At 44.2% G+C, this 22,264-nt stretch overlaps 1 protein-coding gene across 6 annotated transcripts in view, besides 1 other annotated feature; it reads right to left on the bottom strand.

Annotated features, from left to right (window-relative positions):
• The window catches only part of DDX46 (DEAD-box helicase 46), a 72,343-nt gene extending 51,441 nt beyond the window's left edge, over positions 1 to 20,902 (bottom strand). For 5 of the 6 annotated variants that reach the window (XR_948313.4, XR_007058668.1, NM_001300860.2 and 2 more), the window contains exons 1-6: positions 20,726 to 20,902; positions 15,589 to 15,777; positions 12,621 to 12,764; positions 8,682 to 8,778; positions 5,820 to 5,985; positions 1,956 to 2,107 (exon numbers count right to left, since the gene is read on the bottom strand). Coding sequence is in view for 3 of the 6 variants with exons in the window: in NM_001300860.2 (NP_001287789.1) it covers positions 1,956 to 2,107; positions 5,820 to 5,985; positions 8,682 to 8,778; positions 12,621 to 12,764; positions 15,589 to 15,777; positions 20,726 to 20,742 (765 nt within the window). In the remaining 3 variants the exon portion in view is untranslated. The remainder of the gene's footprint in view (positions 1 to 1,955; positions 2,108 to 5,819; positions 5,986 to 8,681; positions 8,779 to 12,620; positions 12,765 to 15,588; positions 15,778 to 20,725) is intronic. The other variant, NR_125341.2, reaches the window with a different exon arrangement.
• Positions 20,638 to 21,127: an enhancer, noted in NCBI's record as "active region_23162". NCBI's record gives its function as "activates an Ori minimal core promoter by ATAC-STARR-seq in GM12878 lymphoblastoid cells {active_cell/tissue: GM12878}" and the evidence as "EXISTENCE:reporter gene assay evidence [ECO:0000049][PMID:35858748]".

Below are 22,264 nucleotides of genomic sequence, written 5' to 3'. Positions count from 1 at the left end.
CATCTCTATAAACAATTAGCCAGATGTGGTGGTACATGCCTGTAGTCCTAACTACTAAGAAGGTTGAAGCAGAACGATTGCTTCAGCCCAGGCGTATGAGGTATGATCATGCCACTGCACTCCAGCCTGGGTAACACAGCGAGACCCTGTCTCTAAAAAACATTTTCTTAAATAAAAAATAAAATAAGGCCGAGTGTGGTGGCTCACGCTTGTAATCCCAGCACTTTGGGAGGCCAAGGCAGACAGATCATTTGAGGTCAGGAGTTCAAGGCCAGCATGGCCAACATGGTGAAACCCTGTCTCTACTAAAAATACAAAAATTAGCCAGGCATGGTGGTGGGCGCCTGTAATCCCAGCTACTCGGGAGGCTGAGGTAGGAGAATCACTTGAGCCTGGGAGGCACAGGGTGCAGTGAGCAGAGATAGTGCCACTGAACTCCAGCCTAGGCAACAGAGCAAGACTCCATCTCAAAAAAAATAAAATAGGACAGGTGCAGTGGCTAATGCCTATAATCCCAGCACGTTGGGAGGCCAAGGCAGGTGGATCACCTGAGGTCAGGAGTTCGAGACCAGCCTGGCCAACATGGTGAAACCCCATCTCCACTAAAAATACAAAAATTAGCTGGGCGTGGTGGCAAGGGCCTGTAATCCCAGCTACTCAGGAAGCTGAGGCAGAAGAATCACTTGAAGCCAGGAGGTGGAAGTTGCAGTGAGCCGAGATTACACCACTGCATTCTAGCCTAGGCAACAAAGGCGACACTCCATCTCAAAAAAATAAATTAAATTAATATAAAATAAAATAAAATGAGGCTGGGCACGGTGGTTCACGCCTGTAATCCCAGTACTTTGGGAGGCCAAGGCGGGAGGATCACCTGAGGTCGGGAGTTCGAGACCAGCCTGACCAACATGGTGAAACCCGGTCTCTACTAAAAATACAAAACTTAGCCGGGCATAGTGGCAGGCGCCTGTAATCCCAGCTACTTGGGAGGCTGAGGCAGGAGAATCGCTTGAACTTGGGAGGCAGCAGTTGCAGTGAGCCAAGATTGCGCCACTGCACTCCCGCTTGGGCAATAGAGCGAGACTCTGTCTCAGAAAAAAAATAAATAAATAAATAAAATGAAACAAAATACTACTAAATGGTATTTTCCAATCACTAGGCAAGCCAGGGGCTTGTAGCGGGAGCCTGAATAAATCAACAAATAACACAGGTAAAAGTCACTGCCCTTAGAGTGCTTACATTTTAGAAGGGAGAAGGGACATACTGTAAACACAAAAAAATTATATAATTTGTCAAAATGTAATAAATGCTATGAAAAAGAGGAAAAATAGAATAAAGTGAGGGGCATCAAGGGTATCAAAGACACAGCTGGGCATGGTGGCTCATGCCTGTAATCCAAGTATTTTGGGAGGCCGAGGCAGGTGGTTCACTTGAGGCCAGGAATTCGAGACCAGCGTGAGCAACATGGTAAAACCTCATCTCTACCAAAATACAAAAATTAGCCAGGCATGGTGGTGCACACATGTAGTTCCAGCTACTTGGGAGGCTGAGGTAGGTAGACTGCATAGGCCTGGGAGGTGGAGGATGCAGTAAGCCAAGATCACACCATTGCACTCCAGCCTAGGCAAAAGAGAGACTCTGTATCAAAAAAAAAAAAAAAAAAGAGTATCAAAGACAGGAGTGCTAGAGAAGTCTCCAGAGAACTTATTAAAAAGGTTAATATGTAAGCAAAGATATCAAACTAAGTTGATGGTGTTAAAAGAGTGACTTTTGAAAGAACACTTATAGCTAAAATTTACCAGTATCTCTGGTACTCAGAAAAAGTACTGCCATCTCTCAGATGAGGAGAAAGAAAACTGTTAGCTTTACAAAGTCATGCCAATCAGTAGGACAATGCAATGGAGAACTCAAGTTACCCAAGAGGAAACGGAAATCTTTAAAAATAAGAAATTCCATACCTTTTCATTTCCCCCACCACCTTTTACACTTCTCATGTTAAATTTTTTTACTTCCTCTTTCACTTCTTCCATGTAAGCATCTAATGGATCTAACTCCTCACCCTCCATTTCATTTCCCTCCTTTTCAGCTTCTGCAGGATCATCTTCGTCATCTAAAATACCAGAATACACATTCTTTAAACATCTGTTTAAAAATGCAGTATTTCACAATCAGACCACACCCCACCTCTCTAACCTTTTCTGCCACTGCCCAAACACCCCTTTTCCAATTACTCCAGCCATCCATCAGTTCAAATGCTCATATTCTGAGGTTTTTCCATTTTTACATGAAGCATGTATTACTTCTGAATATTAACAATGACAAAATAAATATGAATAAAACATAAATTGGTTGTAAAAGGGTCAAAAGATTAATTATGCCAAAAAAGGTGATCTCCAATAATAGATTTTACAGCTATACAGCTGGATGCAGAACTACAAACTTTCTCTGCTAAATGATGTTTTTTTTGAGACGGAGTCTCGCTCTGTCACCCAGGCTGGAGTACAGTGGCACAATCTCAGCTCACTGCAAGCTCCGCCTCCCAGGTTCCTGGGTTCACACCATTCTCTTGCCTCAGCCTGACGAGTAACCGGGACTACAGGTGCCCGCCACCATGCCACTAATTTTTTTTATTTTTAGTAAAGAGGGGGTTTCACCATGTGAGCCAGGATGGTCTCTAACTCCTAACCTCGTGATCCGCCCGCCTCGGCCTCCCAAAGTGCTGGGATTACAGGCGTGAGCCACCACGCCTGGCCTTTTTTTTTTTTTTTTTGAGACAGAGTCTCGCTCTGTTGCCCAGGCTGGAGTGCAGTGTCGCGATCTCAGCTTACTGCAACCTCTGATATCCTGGGTTCAAGCGATTCTCCTGCCTCAGCCTCCTGAGTAGCTGGGATTACAGGCGTGCGCCACCATACTCAGCTAATTTTTGTATTTAGTAGAGACGGGGTTTCACCATGTTTGTCAGGCTGGTCTCGAACTCCTGACCTTGTGATCCACCCACCTCAGCCTCCCAAAGTGTTGGGATTACAGGCGTGAGCCACTGCACCCAGCTAAATGACATTTTCAATTACAGTTGATCCCTGAACAACATAGGTTTGAACTGCATGGGTCCACATGGAAGCAAATTTTCTTCCACCTTTGCCACCCCAGAGACAAGACCAACTCCTCCTCCTCTTCTTCCTTCTCAGCCTACTCAATGTGAAGACAACAAGGATGAAGACCTTTAAGATGATCTACTTCAACTTAATGGACAGTAAGTATATTTTTGCTTTCTCGTAATTCTTTTTTTTTTTTTCTAGACAGTCTCACTCTGTTGCCAGGCTGGAGTGCAGTGGCACCATCTCGGCTCACTGACGGCAACCTTCACCTCCCAGGTTCAAGTGATTCTTCTGCCTCAGCCTCCCGAGTAGCTGGGACTACAGGTGTGCGCCACCACACCAAGCTAATTTTTGTATTTTTAGTAGAGACGGAGTTTCACCATGTTGGCCAGGATGATCTTGATCTCTTGACCTTGTGAACCACCTGCCTCAGCCTCCCAAAGCGCTGGGATTACAGGCATGCACCAGCGCGCCCAGCCTCTAATTCTCTTAATAACATTCTTTTCTCCCGCTTACCATATTAAAATAATACAGTATTCAATACATAAAGCATACAAAGTATGTGTTATTCAACTGTTCATGTTATTGGTGAACAGTAAGCAGGTAATGCTTAGTTTCTGGGGAGTAAAAAGTTACATATGGATATTTCACTGTGTGGGGGTTGGTGTGCTTAGCTACCAAGTTGTTCAAGGGTCAACTGTATTTTTCTTTCAATTACCTTTCAATCACAGAAGATAGCATATCTCAGTTATGTAAAAAAGATTAGATTGTCTAGAATTAAGACATCACGACTACTTGGCTGGGCGTAATGGCTCACACTTGTAATCCCACTGCTTTGGGAGGCCGAGGCAGGTGGATCACGAGGTCAGGCGTTTGAGACTAGCCTGGCCAACATAGTGAAACCCCATCTCTACTAAAAATAGGCCAAGGCGGGCGGATCACAAGGTTAGGAGTTTGACACCAACCTGGCCAGTGTGGTGAAACCTCGTCTCTACTAAAAATACAAAAAAATTAGCTGGGCGTGGTGGTGTACACCTGTAATCCCAGCTACTCAGGAGGCTGAGGCAGAGAATTTCTTGAACCTGGGAGGTGGAGGTTGCAGTGAGCCGAGATCACGGCACTGCACTCAAGCGTAGGCAACAGAGCGAAAAAAAAAAGACATCATGACTACTTATAGATAGAATCTATTTAAACCATTCTTTGGAACTTTCACAGACAATGGACCAAAATCCCATTTTCCTATAAAATTCTACAATCTCCTACTTTACTAAAATCTCGAAAGTCAAAATCAGATGTGAAGGGAAATGTTTCCATCCTAAATTATGAAATATCAGCAGCCAGGCACAGTGGCTCCTGCCTGTAATCCCAACACTGAGAAAGGTCAAAGCAGCAGGCTCTCTTGACCCCAGGAGCTCAAGACTAGCTGGGTAACATATCGAGACCCTGGCTCTTCAAAAAATGACAAAATTAGCTGGGCATGGTGGCTCACGCCTGTAATCCCAGCACTATGGGAGGCCAAAGTGGGAGGATCACCTGAGGTCAGGAGTTCAAGACCGGCCTGGCCAACATATTTTTGTACTAAAAATACAAAAATTATCCAGGCATGGTGGCAGGTGCCTGTAATCCTGACTACTTGAAAAGCTGAGGCGCAAGAGAATAGCTTGAACCTGGGAGGCGGAGACTGCAGTGCCGCCTGGGTGACAGAGCAAGACTCTGTCAAAAAAGAAAAAAGAAAAAGACAAAATTAGCCAGGCATGGTGGCTACTCTGGAAGCTGAGGCAGAAAAATCACTTGAGCCCAGGACGTCGAGGCTGCAGTGAACTATGACTGTGCCACTGCACTCCAGCCTAGGCAAGAGAATGAAACTCTATCTCCAAAAACATGAAAAAGAAAAGAAAAATCAGAGGAGGCACTTGAAAGCATGCCCTTAATTTACTCTCCTTACTAACGTTCACATTGGTATAATATATTAAAGAACTATTTACTGGCTATGCCCAATAACACTCAATGATTCATTCTAAAGTAAAATCAGTGATGCTTACTAAACACAATTCTATATTTCAAATTACAACATAAATATTAAAAGGAGCTTTTACAATCTCAATTCCACTTCTGGGTATATAGTTCACAGAACTCAATACAGAGACTCAAACAGATATTTATACACCAATGGTCACAGGAGCATTACTCACGATAACAAAAGGGTGGAAACAACCAAATTATCCAATGGCAGGTGAATGAACAAACAAAACTTGGCATATATATACAGTGAAATATTATTCAGCCATATAAAGAAAGGAAATTCCAACATGCTACAACATACATGCACCTTGAAGACATTATGCTAAGTGAAATAAGCCAGACACAAAAAGACAAATATGTATTATGATTCCACTTATGTGAGGTAGCTAGACTAAACAAATTCAGAGACAGAAAATAGAGCAAAGGTCACAAGAAGTAGCGAGAAAAGGCGTCATAGAGTTATTTAAAAGGTGCAGAGTTTCTGTATGGAATGACGAAAAAGTCATGGAAACAGACAGTGGTAACGACTGCACAACACTGCAAATGTATTTATCACTGAATTGAAACCTGAAAATGATGAAAATGGTAAACAGCATATTATGCATAGTTTTCAACAATAAAAAAGATTAAAAACCCCTTATGAAATATTATTCATATAATATTCTACATGAGGTGTTATACAGGCTATTAGGCTAAAAAATATACCATCATCGTCCTCTAAACTCCACTTTTTCCCTTGTTTCATCTCTTCGATTTCCTTTTTCAGTTCTCCTATGTTTTCCATAGCCTTTTTACGTTGCTCTTCTCGCCATTTTTCTACTCTTTCTTTTCGCTTTCTCATTTCTTCTTCCAGCTTATTCTGGTCAAAGTTCTTGGGGGAATAAAAGAAAGAAAGAGATGGGGGAAAATAAAAAGCAAAACCAAATTTAATAATTTTGCTCCAAGTGACATTCCAGTAAGTTCTTCAAAGTATAAAGAAGGGGAAAAAAGGCATATATACAAACCCCTCAGGGTAGACTTAGATCACATACCTTTATAAATATACACACAAATATATTACCAAAATGAAATCACAAAAAAAGCATCTTCAAATAAGAAAGCCAAAAGATAGATTTCAAACACTATAAATCAATCTCATTTTACTTACAAGCATTATGCACACATAAACTTTATTTCTTCCTAACAACAGAAACTAAAGTAATTAGCAAGCAAAGTTTCCCAGTTATTCTCAATTTTAATCCCCTAAACGCCTCCAAAATTGCCTCTATGAAAAGCAATTTTCTATTACAAGTTAGAAAATAAACGACATCAACATGATAAAGAAATTTTATGGCCAGGCACATGGTACATGTCTGTGGTCCCAGCTACCTGGGAAGCTGAGGCTAGAGGATCCCTTGAGCACAGGAGGTTGAGATCAGCCTCAGCAACAAAGGGAGACTCTGTGTTATTAAAAAAATACAAGTTTATGGCCAGGCATGGTGGCTTACACCTGTAATCCCAGCACTGTGGGAAGCTGAGGCTGGAGGATCCCTTGAGGTCAGGAGTTGGAAACCACCCTGGCCAACATGGTGAAACCCTGTCTCTACTAAAAACACAAAAATTAGCTGGGCATGGTTCCCCATTCCTGTAGTTCCTCCTTCAGGAGGCTGAAGCAGGAGAATTGCTTCGACTCAGGAGGCAGAGGTTGCAGCGAGCTGAGATCACGCCATTGTACTCCGGCCTCAGCAACAAGAGCAGAACTCCGTCTCAAAAAAATGAATAGGCCAGATACGGTGGCTCATGCTTGTAATTCCAGTGCTTTGGGAGGCAGAGGCAGGCAGATTGCCTGAGGTCAGGAGTTCAAGACCAGTCTGGCCAACAGGGGGAAACCCCATTTCTACGAAAAATACCAAAAAATTAGCTGGGCGTGGTGGCATGCACCTGTAATCCCAGCTACTCAGGAGGCTGAGGCAGGGGAACTGCTTGAACTCCCAAATTCCTGGGATTACAGGCATGAGCCACAGCACCTGGCCTCATGTCTAAATTCTTAAGTCTACATTTTTTTTTTCCAGACAGAGTCTCGCAGTCACCAGGCTGGAGTGCATTGGCGGGATCTCAGCTCACTGCAATCTCCAAGTCCGGGGTTCAAGCCATTCTCCTATCTCAGCCTCCCGAGTAGCTGGGATTACAGGCACATACAACCACACCCAGCTAATTTTTGTATTTTTAGTAGAGACAGGGTTTCACCATGGTGGCCAAGATGATCTCAATCTCTTGACCTCGTGATCTACCCACCTTGGCCTCCCGAACTGCTGAGATTACAGGCACGAGCCACCATGCCTGGCCTTCACATTTGAGACAGAGTTTCGCTCTTGTTGCCCAGGCTGGAGTGCAATGGTGTGATTTTTGGCTCACTGCAACCTCTGCCTCCCAGGTTCAAGTGATTCTCCTGCCTCAGTCTCCCAAGTAGCTGGGATTACAGGCATGCGCCATCACGCCTGGCTAATTTTTGTATTTTTAGTAGTGACGGGGTTTTACCATGTTGGTCAGGCTGGTCTCGAACTCCTGACCTCAGATGATCCACCTGCCTTGGCCTCCCAAAGTGGTGAGATTACAGGCACGAGCCACTGTGCCCAGCCTTAAGTCGAAATTTATACAAATTTTTTGGAAGGCAATTGATAATGTTTATATGGTAAGACTGCACTTTGTATGTAAAAACAGATATTGCGTATAGATGTGCAACTTCTTTTAGAAAATTTTCCCACAGGGGTAAATATTATTTAATCTTCCTTTTTTATCTTTCACATCTGGTTATTTTAAAATAAAGCTTACAGCATTAAAAAGAAAAAAATTTGTTGGCATAGAAACAAGTTTGTTTTGATTTTTGAGACAGAGTCTTGCTCTGTCACCCAGGCTGGAGTACAGTGGCCCAATCTCGGCTCACTGCAAGCTCTGCCTCCCGGGTTCACACCATTCTCCTGGCTTAGCCTCCCAAGTAGCTGGGACTACAGGCGCCTGCCACCACGCCTAGCTAATCTTTTTTTTTTTTTTGTATTTTTAGTAGAGACAGGGTTTCACCATGTTAGCCAGGATAGCTTTGATCTCCTGACCTCATGATCCACCCGCCTCGGCCTCCCAAAGTGCTGGGATTACAGGCGTGAGCCACCGTGCCTGGCCCATAGAAACAAGTTTGATGGCCAGGCACGGTGGCTCACACCTGTAATCTCAGCACTTTGGGGGTCCGAGGCAGGGGGATCACAAGGTCAGGAGTTCAAGACCAGCCTGGCCAACACAGTGAAACCCCATCTCTACTAAAAATACAAAAATTAGCTGGGCATGGTGGCGCATGCCTATAGTCCCAACTACTTGGGAGGCTGAGGCAGGAGAATTGCTTGAACTCAGGAGCCGAGAATGTGCCACTGCACTCCAGCCTGGGCAACAGAGACAGACAGAAAGAAAGACAGAAAGAAAGACAGACAGAAAAGAAAGAAAGAAAGAGAAAGAAAGAAAGAAAGAGGGAAAGAAAGAAAAGAAAGAAAGAAAGACAAAAAGAAAGAAAGAAAATTATTTTTAAGTTAATAAACATACGCCAGCATCTTTTTCTTTTTCATCCTCCTTGTCATCTTTGTCTTTTTTCTTCTCTTTAGAACTTTCCCCACCATCAGTTTTCTCTTTGGACCTAGATCTACCAAAAAAATAAAAGAGACAAGAGAAATGTCATTCATTTGTACTTAGAAACATTCATTTTTAAATACTTTTTTTTTTTTTTTTGAGACAGTGTCTCACTCTGTCGCCCAGACTGGAGTGGAGTGAAATGGTGCGATCTCAGCTCACTGCAACCTCCACCTCCCGGGTTCAAGCGATTCTCCTGTCACAGACTCCCGAATAGCTGAGATTACAGGTGCCAGCCACCACACTCATATAATTTTTGTATTTTTAGTAGAGACAGGTTTTCACCATGTTGGCCAGGCTGGTCCTGAACTTCTAACCTCAGGTGATCTGCCCACCTCAGCCTCTCAATGTGCTGGGATTATAGGCATGAGCCACCTCGCCCGGCCTTAAAATACTTTTACAGGTGGGGTAAGGTGCCTCACACTTATATACCCAGCACTTTGGGAAGCCAAGGCAGGAGGATCAATTGAAAACAGGAGTTAAAGAGATCAGCCAGGGGAACATAACAAGATCCAATCTTTCCAAAATATACTAAGAATTAGCTGGGTATGGTGGTGTGCACCTGCAGTCCTACCTACTGAGGAGGCAGAAACAAGACGATCACTTGAGCCCAGTAGTTCGAGGCTGCAGTCAGCTATGATCCCATCACTGCACTCAAGCTTGGGTGACAAAGTGAGACCCTGTCTCTTTTTAAAAAAAAAAAAAAAAAAAAAAAATTTGGTCAGGCATAGTGGCTCATGCCTGTAAGCTCAGTATTTTGGGAGGCCAAGGCAGGAAGATCACTTGAGCCCAGGAGTTCGAGACCAGCCAGGATAATACAGTGAGACCTCGTCTCTATTAAATTAAAACAAAAAATACATAAGTACACTTATTAGACTTGTATTCCAATATTTAGGTAAGAAATAAACTTCTAAGAGTCAACTGTGTTTTCATATTCCATTAACAAACACCTGGAGGCTGGGCATGGTGGCTCATGCCTCTAATCTCAGCACTTTGAGAGGCCAAGGCAGGCAGATCACGAGGTCAGGAGATCGAGACCATCCTGGCCAATATGGTGAAACCCCAACTCGGCCGGGCGCGGTGGCTCACGCCTGTAATCCCAGCACTCTGTGAGGCCGAGGCAGGTGGATCACATGAGGTTAGGAGTTCTAGACCAGCCTGACCAACATGGTGAAACCCTGTCTCTACTAAAAGTACAAAAATTAGCCGGGCTTGGTGGCAGGCGCCTGTAATCCCAGCTACTCAGGGGTGGGAGGCCGAGGCAGGAGAATCACTTGAACTCGGGAGGCGGAGGTTGCAGTGAGCCGAGATTGCACCATTGCCCACCAGCCTGGGAGACAAGAGCAAAACTTCACCTCAAAAAAAAAAAAAAAACAAACAAAAAAAACAAACCCCGTCTCTACTAAAAAATACAAAAATCAGCTGGGTATGGTGGCACGTGCCTGTAATCTCAGCTATTCAGGAGGCTGAGGCAGGAGAATAGCCTGAACCAGGGAGTCAGAGGTTGCAATGAGCTGATATTGCACAACTACATTCCAGCCTGACGACAGAGCAAGATTCTGCCTCAAAAAAAAAAAAAAAAAAAAAACCTTGAAAATATAACGAAAAAAATTAATCCCATGACACTAATGGGAAGCATTACTAAATATTTGGAAATTCAACCCAAGAAAAACTGAACATACTACATACAAACAATATAGTTTGTTTATAGGTAGGATAGTTAAAATGTGATAAATGAAGAAACAGACCAATATATTAATATTCTGCAAGATAATTTATATATGTAATAACGTTTAAAATCCCAAGGGACATGCATTTCGAATGTTCTAATGTTCTAATGATTTTAGGGGATTTTTTTGAGACGGAGTCTCTCTCTGTCGGCCAGGCTGGAGTGCAGTGGCGCAATCTCGGCTCACTGCAACCTCCACCTCCCGGCTTCAAGTGATTCTCCTGCCTCAGCCTCCCGAGTAGCTGGGATCACAGGTGTGTGCCACCACACCTGACTAATTTTTTACTTTTAGTAAAGACGAGGTTTCACCATGTTGGTCAGACTGGTCTCAAACTCCTGACCTCGTGATCCATCCACCTCGGCCTCCCAAAGTGCTAGGATTACAGGCGTGAGCCACTTCACCCAGACTTCTAATGATTTTTTAATGTTAAAATAACCTGCCATTCTTGGAATAAACCCAACTTGTTTACGCACCCCAACTTACGGCATCTCATAATGAATAAAATTTCTTAATTTTAATGTAATCAAATTAGTCAACCTTTTTTCTCCTTTATAATTGGTGCTTTTTAAAGTAGTTTAGAAATCCTTCCAGATTTGATGTAAGATACCTAGAGGTGAAGAAGAAGATACTCTCTGGCACAAACTTCTAAAAGGTTTAGAATTTTGCCATCTAATTTGGTCTTTGCTTGGAATTGCTTTTTGTACACAGAATAAGGTAGGCAGTCTTATTTCATAAAAGGATACTAGATATCCCTAGAGCAATTTAAAAATTTTTCTGGCCAGGCACGGTGGCTCACGCCTTTAATCCCAGCACTTTGGGAGGCCGAGGCGGGTGGATCACGAGATCAGGAGATCGAGACCATTCTGGCTAACACGGTGAAACCCCATCTCTACTAAAAAATACAAAAAATTAGCTGGGCATGTTGGCACACACCTGCAGTCCCAGCTACTCGGGAGGCTGAGGCAAGAGAATTACTTGAACCCGGGAGGCGAAGGTTGCAGTGAGCCGAGATTGCACCACTGCATTCCAGCCAGGGCAACAGAACGAGACTTTGGCTGTTAAAAAAAAAAAAAAAATCTTCACTTATTACATCATCACCTCTGTCATCTATCAAATTACCATGTGTATGGATGCCTTTCTGGGCTCTTTACATGGTTCACTAATCTGTCTGTCCACTGCTAAACAAATTGCACATTGTCTTAATTTCTGTTAACTTTTTTTTGTTTTTTTTTTTTGAGAAGGAGTTTCACTCTTGTTGCCCAGGCTGGAGTGCAACGGCATGATCTCACCTCACCGCAACCTCTGCCTCCTGGGTTCAAGCGATTCTCCGGCCTCAGCCTCCAGAGTAGCTGGGATTACAGGCATACGCCACCACGCCCAGCTAATTTTGTATTTTTAGTAGAGACGGGGTTTATCCACAATGGTCAGGCTGGTCGCCAACTCCCAACCTCAGGTGATCCGCCCACCTTGGCCTCCCAAAGTGCAAGGATTACAGGCGTCAGCCACCGCGCCTGGCCTAATTTCTTAACTTTTAAGACAAGTCTTGGCTGGGCGCGGTGGCTCAGGCCTGTAATCCCAGCACTTTGGGAAGCCGAGGTGGGCAGATCACTTGAGGTCAGGAGTTCGAGACCAGCCTGGCAAACATGCCAAAACCCCATCTCCACTAAAAACATAAAAATTAGCTGGGATATTATGTCTGCCTCTTCATATAATCCCAGGACTTTTGGAGGCCTAGGTGAGAGGATTGCTTGAGTCTACAAGTTTAAGGTTAGTGAGCTATGTTCTTGCCACTTCACTCCAGCCTGGGCAACAGAGTGAGACCCTGCCTGAAAAGAAAATGACAGAGTTTCTACAAAGATGTCTATAAAATACATTTCTGATTGACAGTTATGTATTAAGTAAGAATACAATGTATTGAATGTTAAAACTGACAGAATCTATTATTTTCCAGTTGAATTATAAACATTATAGCCAATTAAAATAAAACACTGCCAACAGTTCATGGTAGGAGCCAAATGCAGTTAATTCTCTATAAATACAAACTTACAGGGAAAAAAAAAAAAGGCGCAGAGAAGGGAAGCAGTCCCCAGTCTGCACTATAGATGCAGCCCAATGATAACATTACCTATTCTCAGTTTTCTTGCTTTTATTTCCAGGACTGGAGGATCGGGATCGCCGGCCCCGGCTTCTACTCCTTGAGCGTCTCCTGTCTCTACTTCGAGATCTTCTTCGCTCTCGGCTTCTGTCTCTCTCTCTACTTCTGGAACGTCTGAAAGGGGGACACTTTTCATTTATTCTATGACCAAATGGAGCTACTATTTCAGATCAGGGGATTCTGTCCCACATTGAAAGAATCTTAATCACTACCATTATTAAAGGTGGAGGTCTCAATGAAGTAAAGCCAAGTCTTATAAGTGCTCAACGAAAAAAATGAGAATACTAATTTATTTCTTTCATTTTTTTAAAGACAAAGTCTCACACCTGTCACCCAGGCTGGAGTGCAGTGGCACAATTGCAGCTCACTGCAACCTCTGCCTTCTGGGTTCAAGTGATTCTCCTGCCTCAGCCTCCCCAGCAGCTGGGATTACAGATGTGCATCACCATGCCCGGCTAATTTTTTTTTTTTTTTTGGAGACAGAGTTTTGCTCTTGTTGCCCAGGCTGGAGTGCAATGGCGCAATCTCAGCTCACCACAACCTCCATCTCCTGGGTTAAAGCGATTCTCTTGCCTCAGCCTCCTGAGTAGCTGGGATTACAGGCATGCACCACCATGCCCAGCCAATTTTGTATTTTTACAGATGGGGTTTCTCCATGTTGGTCAGGCTGGTCTCGAACTCCCAACCGCAGGTGATCTGCCTGCCTCAGCCTCCCAAAGTGCTGGGATTACAGGCGTGAGCCACCATGCCAGGCCAGAGAATACTAATTTCATAAAGATGTTTGTGAAAAAACCATAATAAGTCTGTAATTAACATCGATTGAAAATCGATGGTCTAAGATAGAATATCTAGTTTCAGATAGCCTAAACCTAAGTATAAGGATGGGCATAATGGGTCTACTAAAAGATCACTAATCTGAAGATGAAGAGGCAAGAATTTCTATCCTGCTACTCCTGGTAACTAATGACATGATGAAGGTCAGATCTCCAACTTTCTGGGTCTCAGTTTCATCATCTATAAAATATGGAGACTTCACTAGACATCTTTAAAATCCCTCTTGCTCTAAAATCTTGTGATTCTACTTTCACACCCAAAAGTCAAAGACCAAATGTTAAATAACCATTTTCACTTAAGTACTTGAATTAATTGTGTGAAATTGTTCCTAGGACCACAAAATGTGAAAATGCTATCCACATTGTCACGGGTGAATATTTTCCCTGAATCCTACGTAACAACAATGTACTCCAATGTCTGAAAAGGATAAAGTTAAATTCTTTCTATGATCCACTCACAACACAATCTTGTCTTCCTTTCCTATTTTAATGAGAAACTGGGCAAGGTATGGTATCTCATACCTGTAGTCCCAACCCTTTGGGAGGCCACTAGCAACACAGTTAAGACCCCCATCTCTATGAAAAGCTTTTTTTAATTGGCTGGGTGTGGTGTGCACAGAAGATTATTTTCTTTTTTTCTGTTTTGAGATGGAGTCCTGATCTGTCGCCCAGGCTGGAGTACAGTGGCACCATGTCGGCTCACTACAACCTCCACCTCCCAGGTTCAAGCAAGTCTCCTGCCTCAGCTTCCCGAGCAGCTGGGTTTACAGGCATGCACCACCACACCTGGCTAATTTTTTTTTTTTTTTTTTTTTTAGTAGAGACGGGGTTTCACCATGTTGGCCAGGCTGGTCTCAAACTCCTGACCTCGTGATTCACCCACCTTGGCCTCCCAAAGTGCTGGGATTACAGGCATGAGCCACCATACCTGGCCAACTTTGTCACTATTAAAAATACAAAAATTATCCAGGCTTTGTGGAGCATGCCTGTAATCCCAGTTACTCAAGAGGCTGAGGCATGAGAATCACTTGAACCCGGGAGGCAGAGGTTCCAGTGAGCCTAGATCGTGCCACTGCACTCCAGCCTGGGTGACAGAGTGAGACTCTGTCTCAAAAAAAAAATAAATTAAAAAAAAAAAAAAGATTAAGGCGCTCTTTAGTTTAAATCTATGACAGCTCATTAAAATAGTTTAAGAGGCTTGGAGAGGGTCTGCTTTGTTTCCTTTTTCTGCCTGCTTTAGAGGCTGCTCTAAACACACTGTTTAGCAAAATGAAGAAAGAAAGAGAAAGAGAGAAAGAGTGAGGGAGGAAGGGAGAGAGAGTGGAAGGGAAGGAGATAGGGAGGAAGGAAGAGAGAGATGGAGGAAGGGAGGGAGGGAAGGAGGGAGAGAGGAAGGAAATTTTACAAATTTCAACAAGGGTGGCAAAAAAAAAAGGAAAGAAAATTAACACCTTGGTCAGCTCTCCTGGAGCAGAATTGGAATAGAACCCTCTTGAATATAACTTATTACTTTACTTTTTACTTCATTTTGTATGTCCCTCAGAGGGCTTCAAGGGATGTCTTTGGGTTACAGGAAATACAGCCTAAAGTTTCCAAACTAAAAACACTGTTTGATGGTCGGACACGGTGGCTCACACATGTAATCCCAGCACTTTGGGAGGCCAAGGTGGGAGGATCACATGAGGCCAGGAGATCGAGAGCAGCCTGGCCAACATGGCAAAACACCGTCTCTTTTAAAGACACAAAAATTAGACAGGTGTGGTGGTGCACATCTGAAATCCCAGCTACTTGGCAGGCTTAGGCATGAGAATCGCTTGAACCCAGGAGGTGGAGGTTGCAGTGAGCAGAGATGATACCACTGCACTCCAGTCTGAGCAACAGAGTGAGGCTCTGTCTCAAAAAAGATTAAAAAAAAAAAAAAACACTGTTTGATAGAGTCTTTGTAGGCACATCCTTCTGGGTCTAATCAAACAAGTAGGGGATAAAGAAAAGGGCCTGCAATTGGGCCACCAAACTCCAGTTGAAAACATACTTTTCAAGAAGCCTGCTATAGCCGAGAAGGCCCAATTTATCACTCGTCTTTTGGAAATTAATTAATGTCTTACCTCAGACGCTTCCTGTCCCTTGACCGAGATCTTCTTTTATCCCTGCTACGAGACCTCTCTCTCCTCCTATCTCTATCTCTACTTCTAGACCGTCTGTCATCTCCACGTTTACTTCTTTTGTCTGAGGGTGAGCGACTTCTAGACCGACTTCCAGAGCGACCCCGGGATGCCGATCGTTTTCGATAGTGGCTAGAACAATAAGTCAAAGATTAAGTTCAGCAAACACCATTAGCTTCTATTACATTTTATTACATTTTTTCTAAAAATAATTTCAGCAGACAAATTTAACACTCAAAGAACTTTTTATGAATTTTTCTAAAATTAGGAGGGAAAAAATGAACCCTTCTGCTTCAGCACAGACACATGTAGAGGTGGAAAATCTGTCTTGAAAGAGAGGCAAGGACAGTGAACAAAACAGACCAAGCTCCTGCCTTTGAGCTCCAGGCAGCTTACACTCCGGTAAAGGAAAAGACGGCAGACAAGTGAAGAAACAAACACTGTATATAGTATGTTTATATACAATATAAATATGACATTTGTTACAGAGGCTTGGAGGAAATAAAGGAGCCATGTAGATATACAGGGAATTTTCCACGCAAAAGGCACAAGTGCAAAGTCCCTAAAGAGGAAGCTTGACTGGTGAGTTTAAGGAACAGCAAGGATGCCAGTTGTGGCTAGTGTTGAAAGAGTGACACAGCGTGCCATAAGACGAGGTCAGAAAAACAGCAGGGAAGCCAAACCTGGAAGGCCTTACTGGCCATTATATAAGGACTCTGTCTTTTACACCAAGATGAAAATCTACTGGAAGACTTTAAGCAGAGGAGTGACACAACCTCATTAATGTTTTTATTTTTATTTTTAGAAACAGGCCTCACTCTATTATCCAGGATAGAGTGCAGTGATGTGCTCACAGTTCACTGCAACTTCAACTCTCTGAGGCTCAAGCAATCCTCCCACTTCAGCCTCCCAAGAAGCCGGAACTTCAGGCATGCGTCACCACACTTAGCTAATTATTATTATTATTTTTTTTTTTTGAGAAAGAGTCTGGCTCTGTTGCCTAGGCTGGAGTGCAGTGGCACAATCTCAGCTCACTGCAAGCTCCACCTCCCGGGTTCACACCATTCTCCTGCCTCAGCCTCCCGAGTAGCTAGGACTATAGGCGTCCGCCATTACGCCAGGCTAAATTTTTTTTGCATTTTTAGAAGAGATGGGGTTTCACCATGTTAGCCAGGATGGTCTCGATCTCCTGACCTCGTGATCCACCTGCCTCAGCCTCCCAAAGTGCTGGGATTACAGGCTTGGGCCACTGCGCCCGGCCACTCAGCTAATTATTTTTATTTTATTTTATTTATTTTTTTTGAGACAGAGTCGCACTCTTGTTGCCCAGGCTGGAATGCAATAGCACCATCTCAGCTCACTGCAACCTCTGCCTCCCAGGTTCAAGCAATCCTCCTACCTCAGCCTCCCAAGCAGCTGGGATTACAGGCCTATACTACCACGCCCAGCCAGTTTCGTATCTTTAGTAGATGAGGCAGTTTCACCACATTGGTCAGGCTGGTCTGGAACTCCTGACCTCAGGTGATCTACCTGCCTCAGCCTCCCAAAGTGCTGGGATGGATTACAGGCATGAGCCACCGCATGCAGCCTTTTTATCATTTTTTTAAATTTCTTTTTTGAGACAAGGTCTCACTCTGTCACCCAGGCTGGAATGCAGCAGCTCAATTGCTACTCACTGTAACCTCAACCTACTGGGCCCCAGCAATCCTTCCACCTCAATCTCCAGAGTAGCTGAGACCAAAGGCACACACCACCGCGCCCACCAATTTTTTTTTTTTTTTTTTTTGGGTAGAGATGGTGTCTCACTATGTTGCTCAGGATTGTCTTAACCTCCCGGCCTCAAGCATCTTCCCACCTCAGCCTCCCAAGTAGCTGGGACCAAAAGCATAAAAGCGTGTGCCACTATGCCCACCTATTTATTTCTTTTTATTTTTCATTTTTGTAGAGATGGAGTCTTGCTATGTTGCTCAGGATGGTCTCAAACTCCTGGGCTCAAGCAATCCTTCCACTTAATGTAATCCCAAAATGCTGGGATTACAGGTGTGAGCCACTGCACCTGGCCTAATGTTTTTAAAGTATTATTCTGGTTGCTGAGAGAACAAACCAAACAAAGGGAGGCAAGGACAAAAGGAGAAAGAATAGGCAGGATTAGCAAAGACCAGCACTATAGCAATCATCCAGGCATGAGATAGTGGTGGCATAGATCAAAATGGAAGGTGGAAAGATTTTGAGAAATATCAAAATCTGGATATCTTGAAGCTAGCACCGATGGGATTTAATGATGAACTAAATGTCAAGTGTGACAGCAAGAGAGAAATCACTCAGTTGCCATTTACCAAGATGGGAAGGCTGAGGGAGAAATCCAGGGAGAAGGTGGATCAGAATATTAGGTATCCAAGTGGAGATATATAGTATATAGTTGAAATATTAGCCTGTAGTTCAAGGAAGAGGTTTCTCTAGAAATATAAACTGGACAGCTATTAGTGTACAAAGGCTATTTAAAGCTATAAACCTAAATAAGATCACTAGGAGATGAATGCACCTGATTATCTCTCAAGCACCTCAAGTTCAATCTGTAGAAACCCAAACTTGTTACCCTTCCCTCCCCAAACGATTAATCGTACCAACTTCCGGTCACTAGGCTCAAAACATTAGTCATCATCAATATTTTTCTCTTGCTCTCATTCGATACAATAAATAAAACACCAATTGGCTGGGCACAGCGGCTCATGCCTGTAATCCCAGCATTTTGGCAGGCCAAGGTGGGCAGAGAGCTTGACCTCAGGAGTTGAGACCAGCCTGGGCAACATGGTGAAACCCTGTCTCTACAAAAAATACAAAAATTAGCAAAGCGTGGTGGCACACGCTTGCAGTCCCAGCTATTCGGGAGGCTGAGGTGGGAGGATCTCTTGAACCTGGGAAGCATAGGTTGCAGTGAGCCAAGATTGTTTCAATGCACTCCAGCCTGGGAGACAGAGCAAGTCCCTGTCTCAAAAACAAAAAAACAGGCCGGGTGCGGTGGCTCACGCCTGTAATCCCAGAACTTTGGGAGGCCGAGGCGGGTGGATCACAAGGTCAGGAGATCGAGACCACCCTGGCTAACACGGTGAAACCCCGTCTCTACTAAAAAATACAAAAATTAGCCTGACGCGGTGGCAGGCGCCTGTAGTTCCAGCTACTCGGGAGGCTGAGGCAGGAGAATGGCGTGAACCCTGGAGGCGGAGCTTGCAGTGAGCCGAGATCCCACCACTGCACTCCAGCCTGGCGAAAGAGCGAGACTCTGTCTCAAAAACAAAAACAAAAACAAAAAAACAACCAAGTAATACCAATTTCACCTCTGTAATTCCCTTCACATTATATCACCTCCACAGAGTTCCAACCGTCACTATTCTATATCAGACATATCTACCTAGGAGATTCTTAAAGACTGTAGTCTTCCTGTTTCTATTACTTTTCCATTAAATCTTACTCATTGCTGCTAAGGAGAATTCTGATTCTATTACACACTTTTTACTCAAAATCTTCAAAGGTTCACAAACAAATTCTGATCTTCAAAATCTACAATCCACCCGCTTTCTGGGCCCAAGTCCTATTCAGGACCTACCTCCTACTACTTCTCAAAAAAGATAAAATCCCTTCATGAAACCTACATATGCAGAAAAATTGGGCTTTTTAGCTATTTCTCTAACACCTTGCGCCTTCCCACCTCTAAGCCTTTCATGATTCCCTGAACAAACCTAGAGCACAGGCCATGCACACCAGAGAGGTAAAGGAGAAGGCTGACGGGCTAGAATGGACCTTCTTGTGAAGGGCCTTGAAGGCTGTCATAGAGTTTAAATTTCATCTTGGAAGCAGTAGAAACCAATGGAGACTAAGTCAGGGGCATGCCATCATCTTATCTCTACTTCAGAAGTGTCACTCTGGCTGTAGTGTAAGGGATCTAACAATTAGGAGAGCAACAGAGGAAGACAATCAATTCAGAGAATCAATTTAAAACAGATGTAGTAGTCTGGACAATAAATAATTAGGGCCTCAATTAAGTCAGGGACAACCAGAATGGGCAAAGGATGTAGAATCTAACAGGCTGTGGGTAGTGAGAGAGAAGAATGAGTCAAATAAATATCACTTTCAGATTTCTGGTCTGGACAGCCTTCCGGAGATTTAAAACACCGTCACAGGAATTTTCTGTAGTTAAAGAAATATTTTTTATCTTCATCCAGGTGATGATTACACGGTTTATATATTTGCTAAATTTCATCAAGCTTTACCCTTACGTTTTGTCCATTTCCCTGATTGTTAATTGTACCTCAACAAAGAACTGTTAGCACTAACAACAAAAGCCTTCATTGTTCCTAGACATAAAATATCTTTCAGTCATTGCTAAATACATAGCAAATAGTCATTTTTAACATAAAAATCTCAAGGTTCCTAACAATCTATCAACAATCTAAAGTTGTGATGAGATCTAATGAGTTCTAATAAGAGCTCATAGTCCACAACTTCAAAAGGACAGAAAAGCAGGTAACAAAGTTACCTGCTTAAATACGAAATCTATTTGCGAAGTAAATGCCCACGCAACAAGTATTTATTGTAGCCCAGTAAAAGCCTAGTCGTGTATAGTGCTGTCGATGCGGTAAAAATGTCTGCCCACACGCTCCTTTCAAGTAACTTGGGAAAAGATCATACGCGCACAAAGAACTAAAATACAGAATGACAGGAGTCGAGGAAATGTTGGAAACGCGAAGCAATAAGCAATCCAACTGGGATCACTTCTGACTGAAGTAATCAGGGCAGGCTCCCTTGAAGTGGCGGGATGTGGTGCCCAATCACTAACGTCCTGGAGGGTTGTTCCCGCTCCAGGGGCTCGAACCCTCTGATGGTAGTGCAGGGGAAGCCGTCGCTGGCCCAAACACAACCATTCCCTCAGCCGAGGTCCCCCAGCCCTTCCAATGCTCGCGGGGCAGCGCTGACCGCACGTGGGGCCGCGCCAGGCCTGGCCCGGCGGCCACCTCAACTCCCGCCTCTTCTCACGACCCCAAGAAGCCGCTCGCCCGCTAGCCCGCTCGGCGCTCTGCCTCACCGTGACTCCCGACCCATGCTGCCGACCGCGGGAATACTGGTGCCCTTGAGTACCACGCACAGGCGAACCGGACAAACAAGGAGGCTGAGCTGCCCTCAACGCCCGGCAAAGACCAGCGCTAAACACTAGCAGCACCTACAGCTGTGGCGGCCATCCCAGCGCGGCCAACGAAAACAGGACGTGCTGGCGCCGGCAGCCGAAGGAAGAGAAAAGCCGACCGGAAGCTGCCGCTCTTCCACAGCGCCCCACCTCGACTGGAGGACGCACAGCGCCGGCCCCATCGAAAGGTGATGCCTTCGCCCCGCCCAGTCTTCCCGGCGCCCGCACCACGCCCGGCTGATTAGTGCGATGGAGCGCAGCGCGTCAGCCTCGCCGGCCCGTGAGGGTGTTTCGCGCCAGAGCCAAAGAGGCGTCCTGGGCAGGCTGATGTCTGCCTTAATTTGCGCTAAATAATGCGGCAACTTTCTCCGTACACGCTCTTTATTCATGTATACATTCACTCATTTATTTATGTTGTCATATGCCAGGCTTGTGCTAGATCCTGGGGAGCTCACAGTCTATCCGGGAAACAGATGACTAAAGCCAGCACAGTGGCTCACGCCTGAAATCCCAGCACTTTGGGAGGCTGAGGCGGGAGGATCTATTGAGCCCAGGAATTCAAGACCTGGGCAACGTAGCCCTCGTCTCTGCAAAGAAAATAGTAATAATAATAGACTTGACTAAAAACACAAGCAGAAGTAATACAGCAAGGAGAGTCCACCATTGGAGACGGATTCAGAAAACACGTTTCCCTTGGAAGTGAACTCTGAGGTGAGATTTGAAGACCCGGTAGGTGTTAACCTAGTAGAGAACAAAGAGCTAAAAATACTTTGGCAAAAGATTAGTTCTCAACATTGCTTGCACTGGGAAGCTTAAAAATAAAACAAAAAAACAAAAAAAGGGCCAGCCATGGTGGCTCATGCCTATAATCCCAGCACTTTGGGAGGCCGAGGCAGGAGGATGGCTTGAGCCCAGGAATTCAAGACCTACCTGGGCAACATAGCGAGACCCTCTACAAAAAATAAGCAAAATAATTAGCCAGGTGTGCTGGCACGCCTGTGGTTCTAGCTACTTGGGAGGCTGAGGTGAGAGGATCATTTGAGCCAGGGAGGCTGAGGCAAGAAGATTACTTGAGCCCAGGAGTTTGAGGCTGCAGTGAGCTATGATGACTCCAGCCTGGGTAGCACAGAGAAATCTCATCTCTAAAATATTAGTAAATAAAATAGAAGCCTGGGTTCCACCCCTATGTTCTGATTTAATTGGCCTGGAGTGCTTCTTGTGCACTGGGAATTTTTAAGCTTCCCAGGTAATTCTGAAGTACAGTCAAGATTGAGAACATTATTCGAGAGTTTGGGCACCAAAAAAATGTATATGTATTGTCTCATGCAACACACACAGAAATGTTGAATTTTTTTTGTTTTTTTTTTTTGAGACGGAGTTTCGCTTTTGTTGCCCAGGCTGGAGTGCAATGGTGAGAGCTCAGCTCACCACAACCTCCAC

The sequence above is a fragment of the Homo sapiens genome, chromosome 5, assembly GCF_000001405.40.
Source record: "Homo sapiens chromosome 5, GRCh38.p14 Primary Assembly".
Taxonomy (NCBI): domain Eukaryota; kingdom Metazoa; phylum Chordata; class Mammalia; order Primates; family Hominidae; genus Homo; species Homo sapiens.
This window is presented reverse-complemented; position numbering and strand designations above follow the sequence as displayed.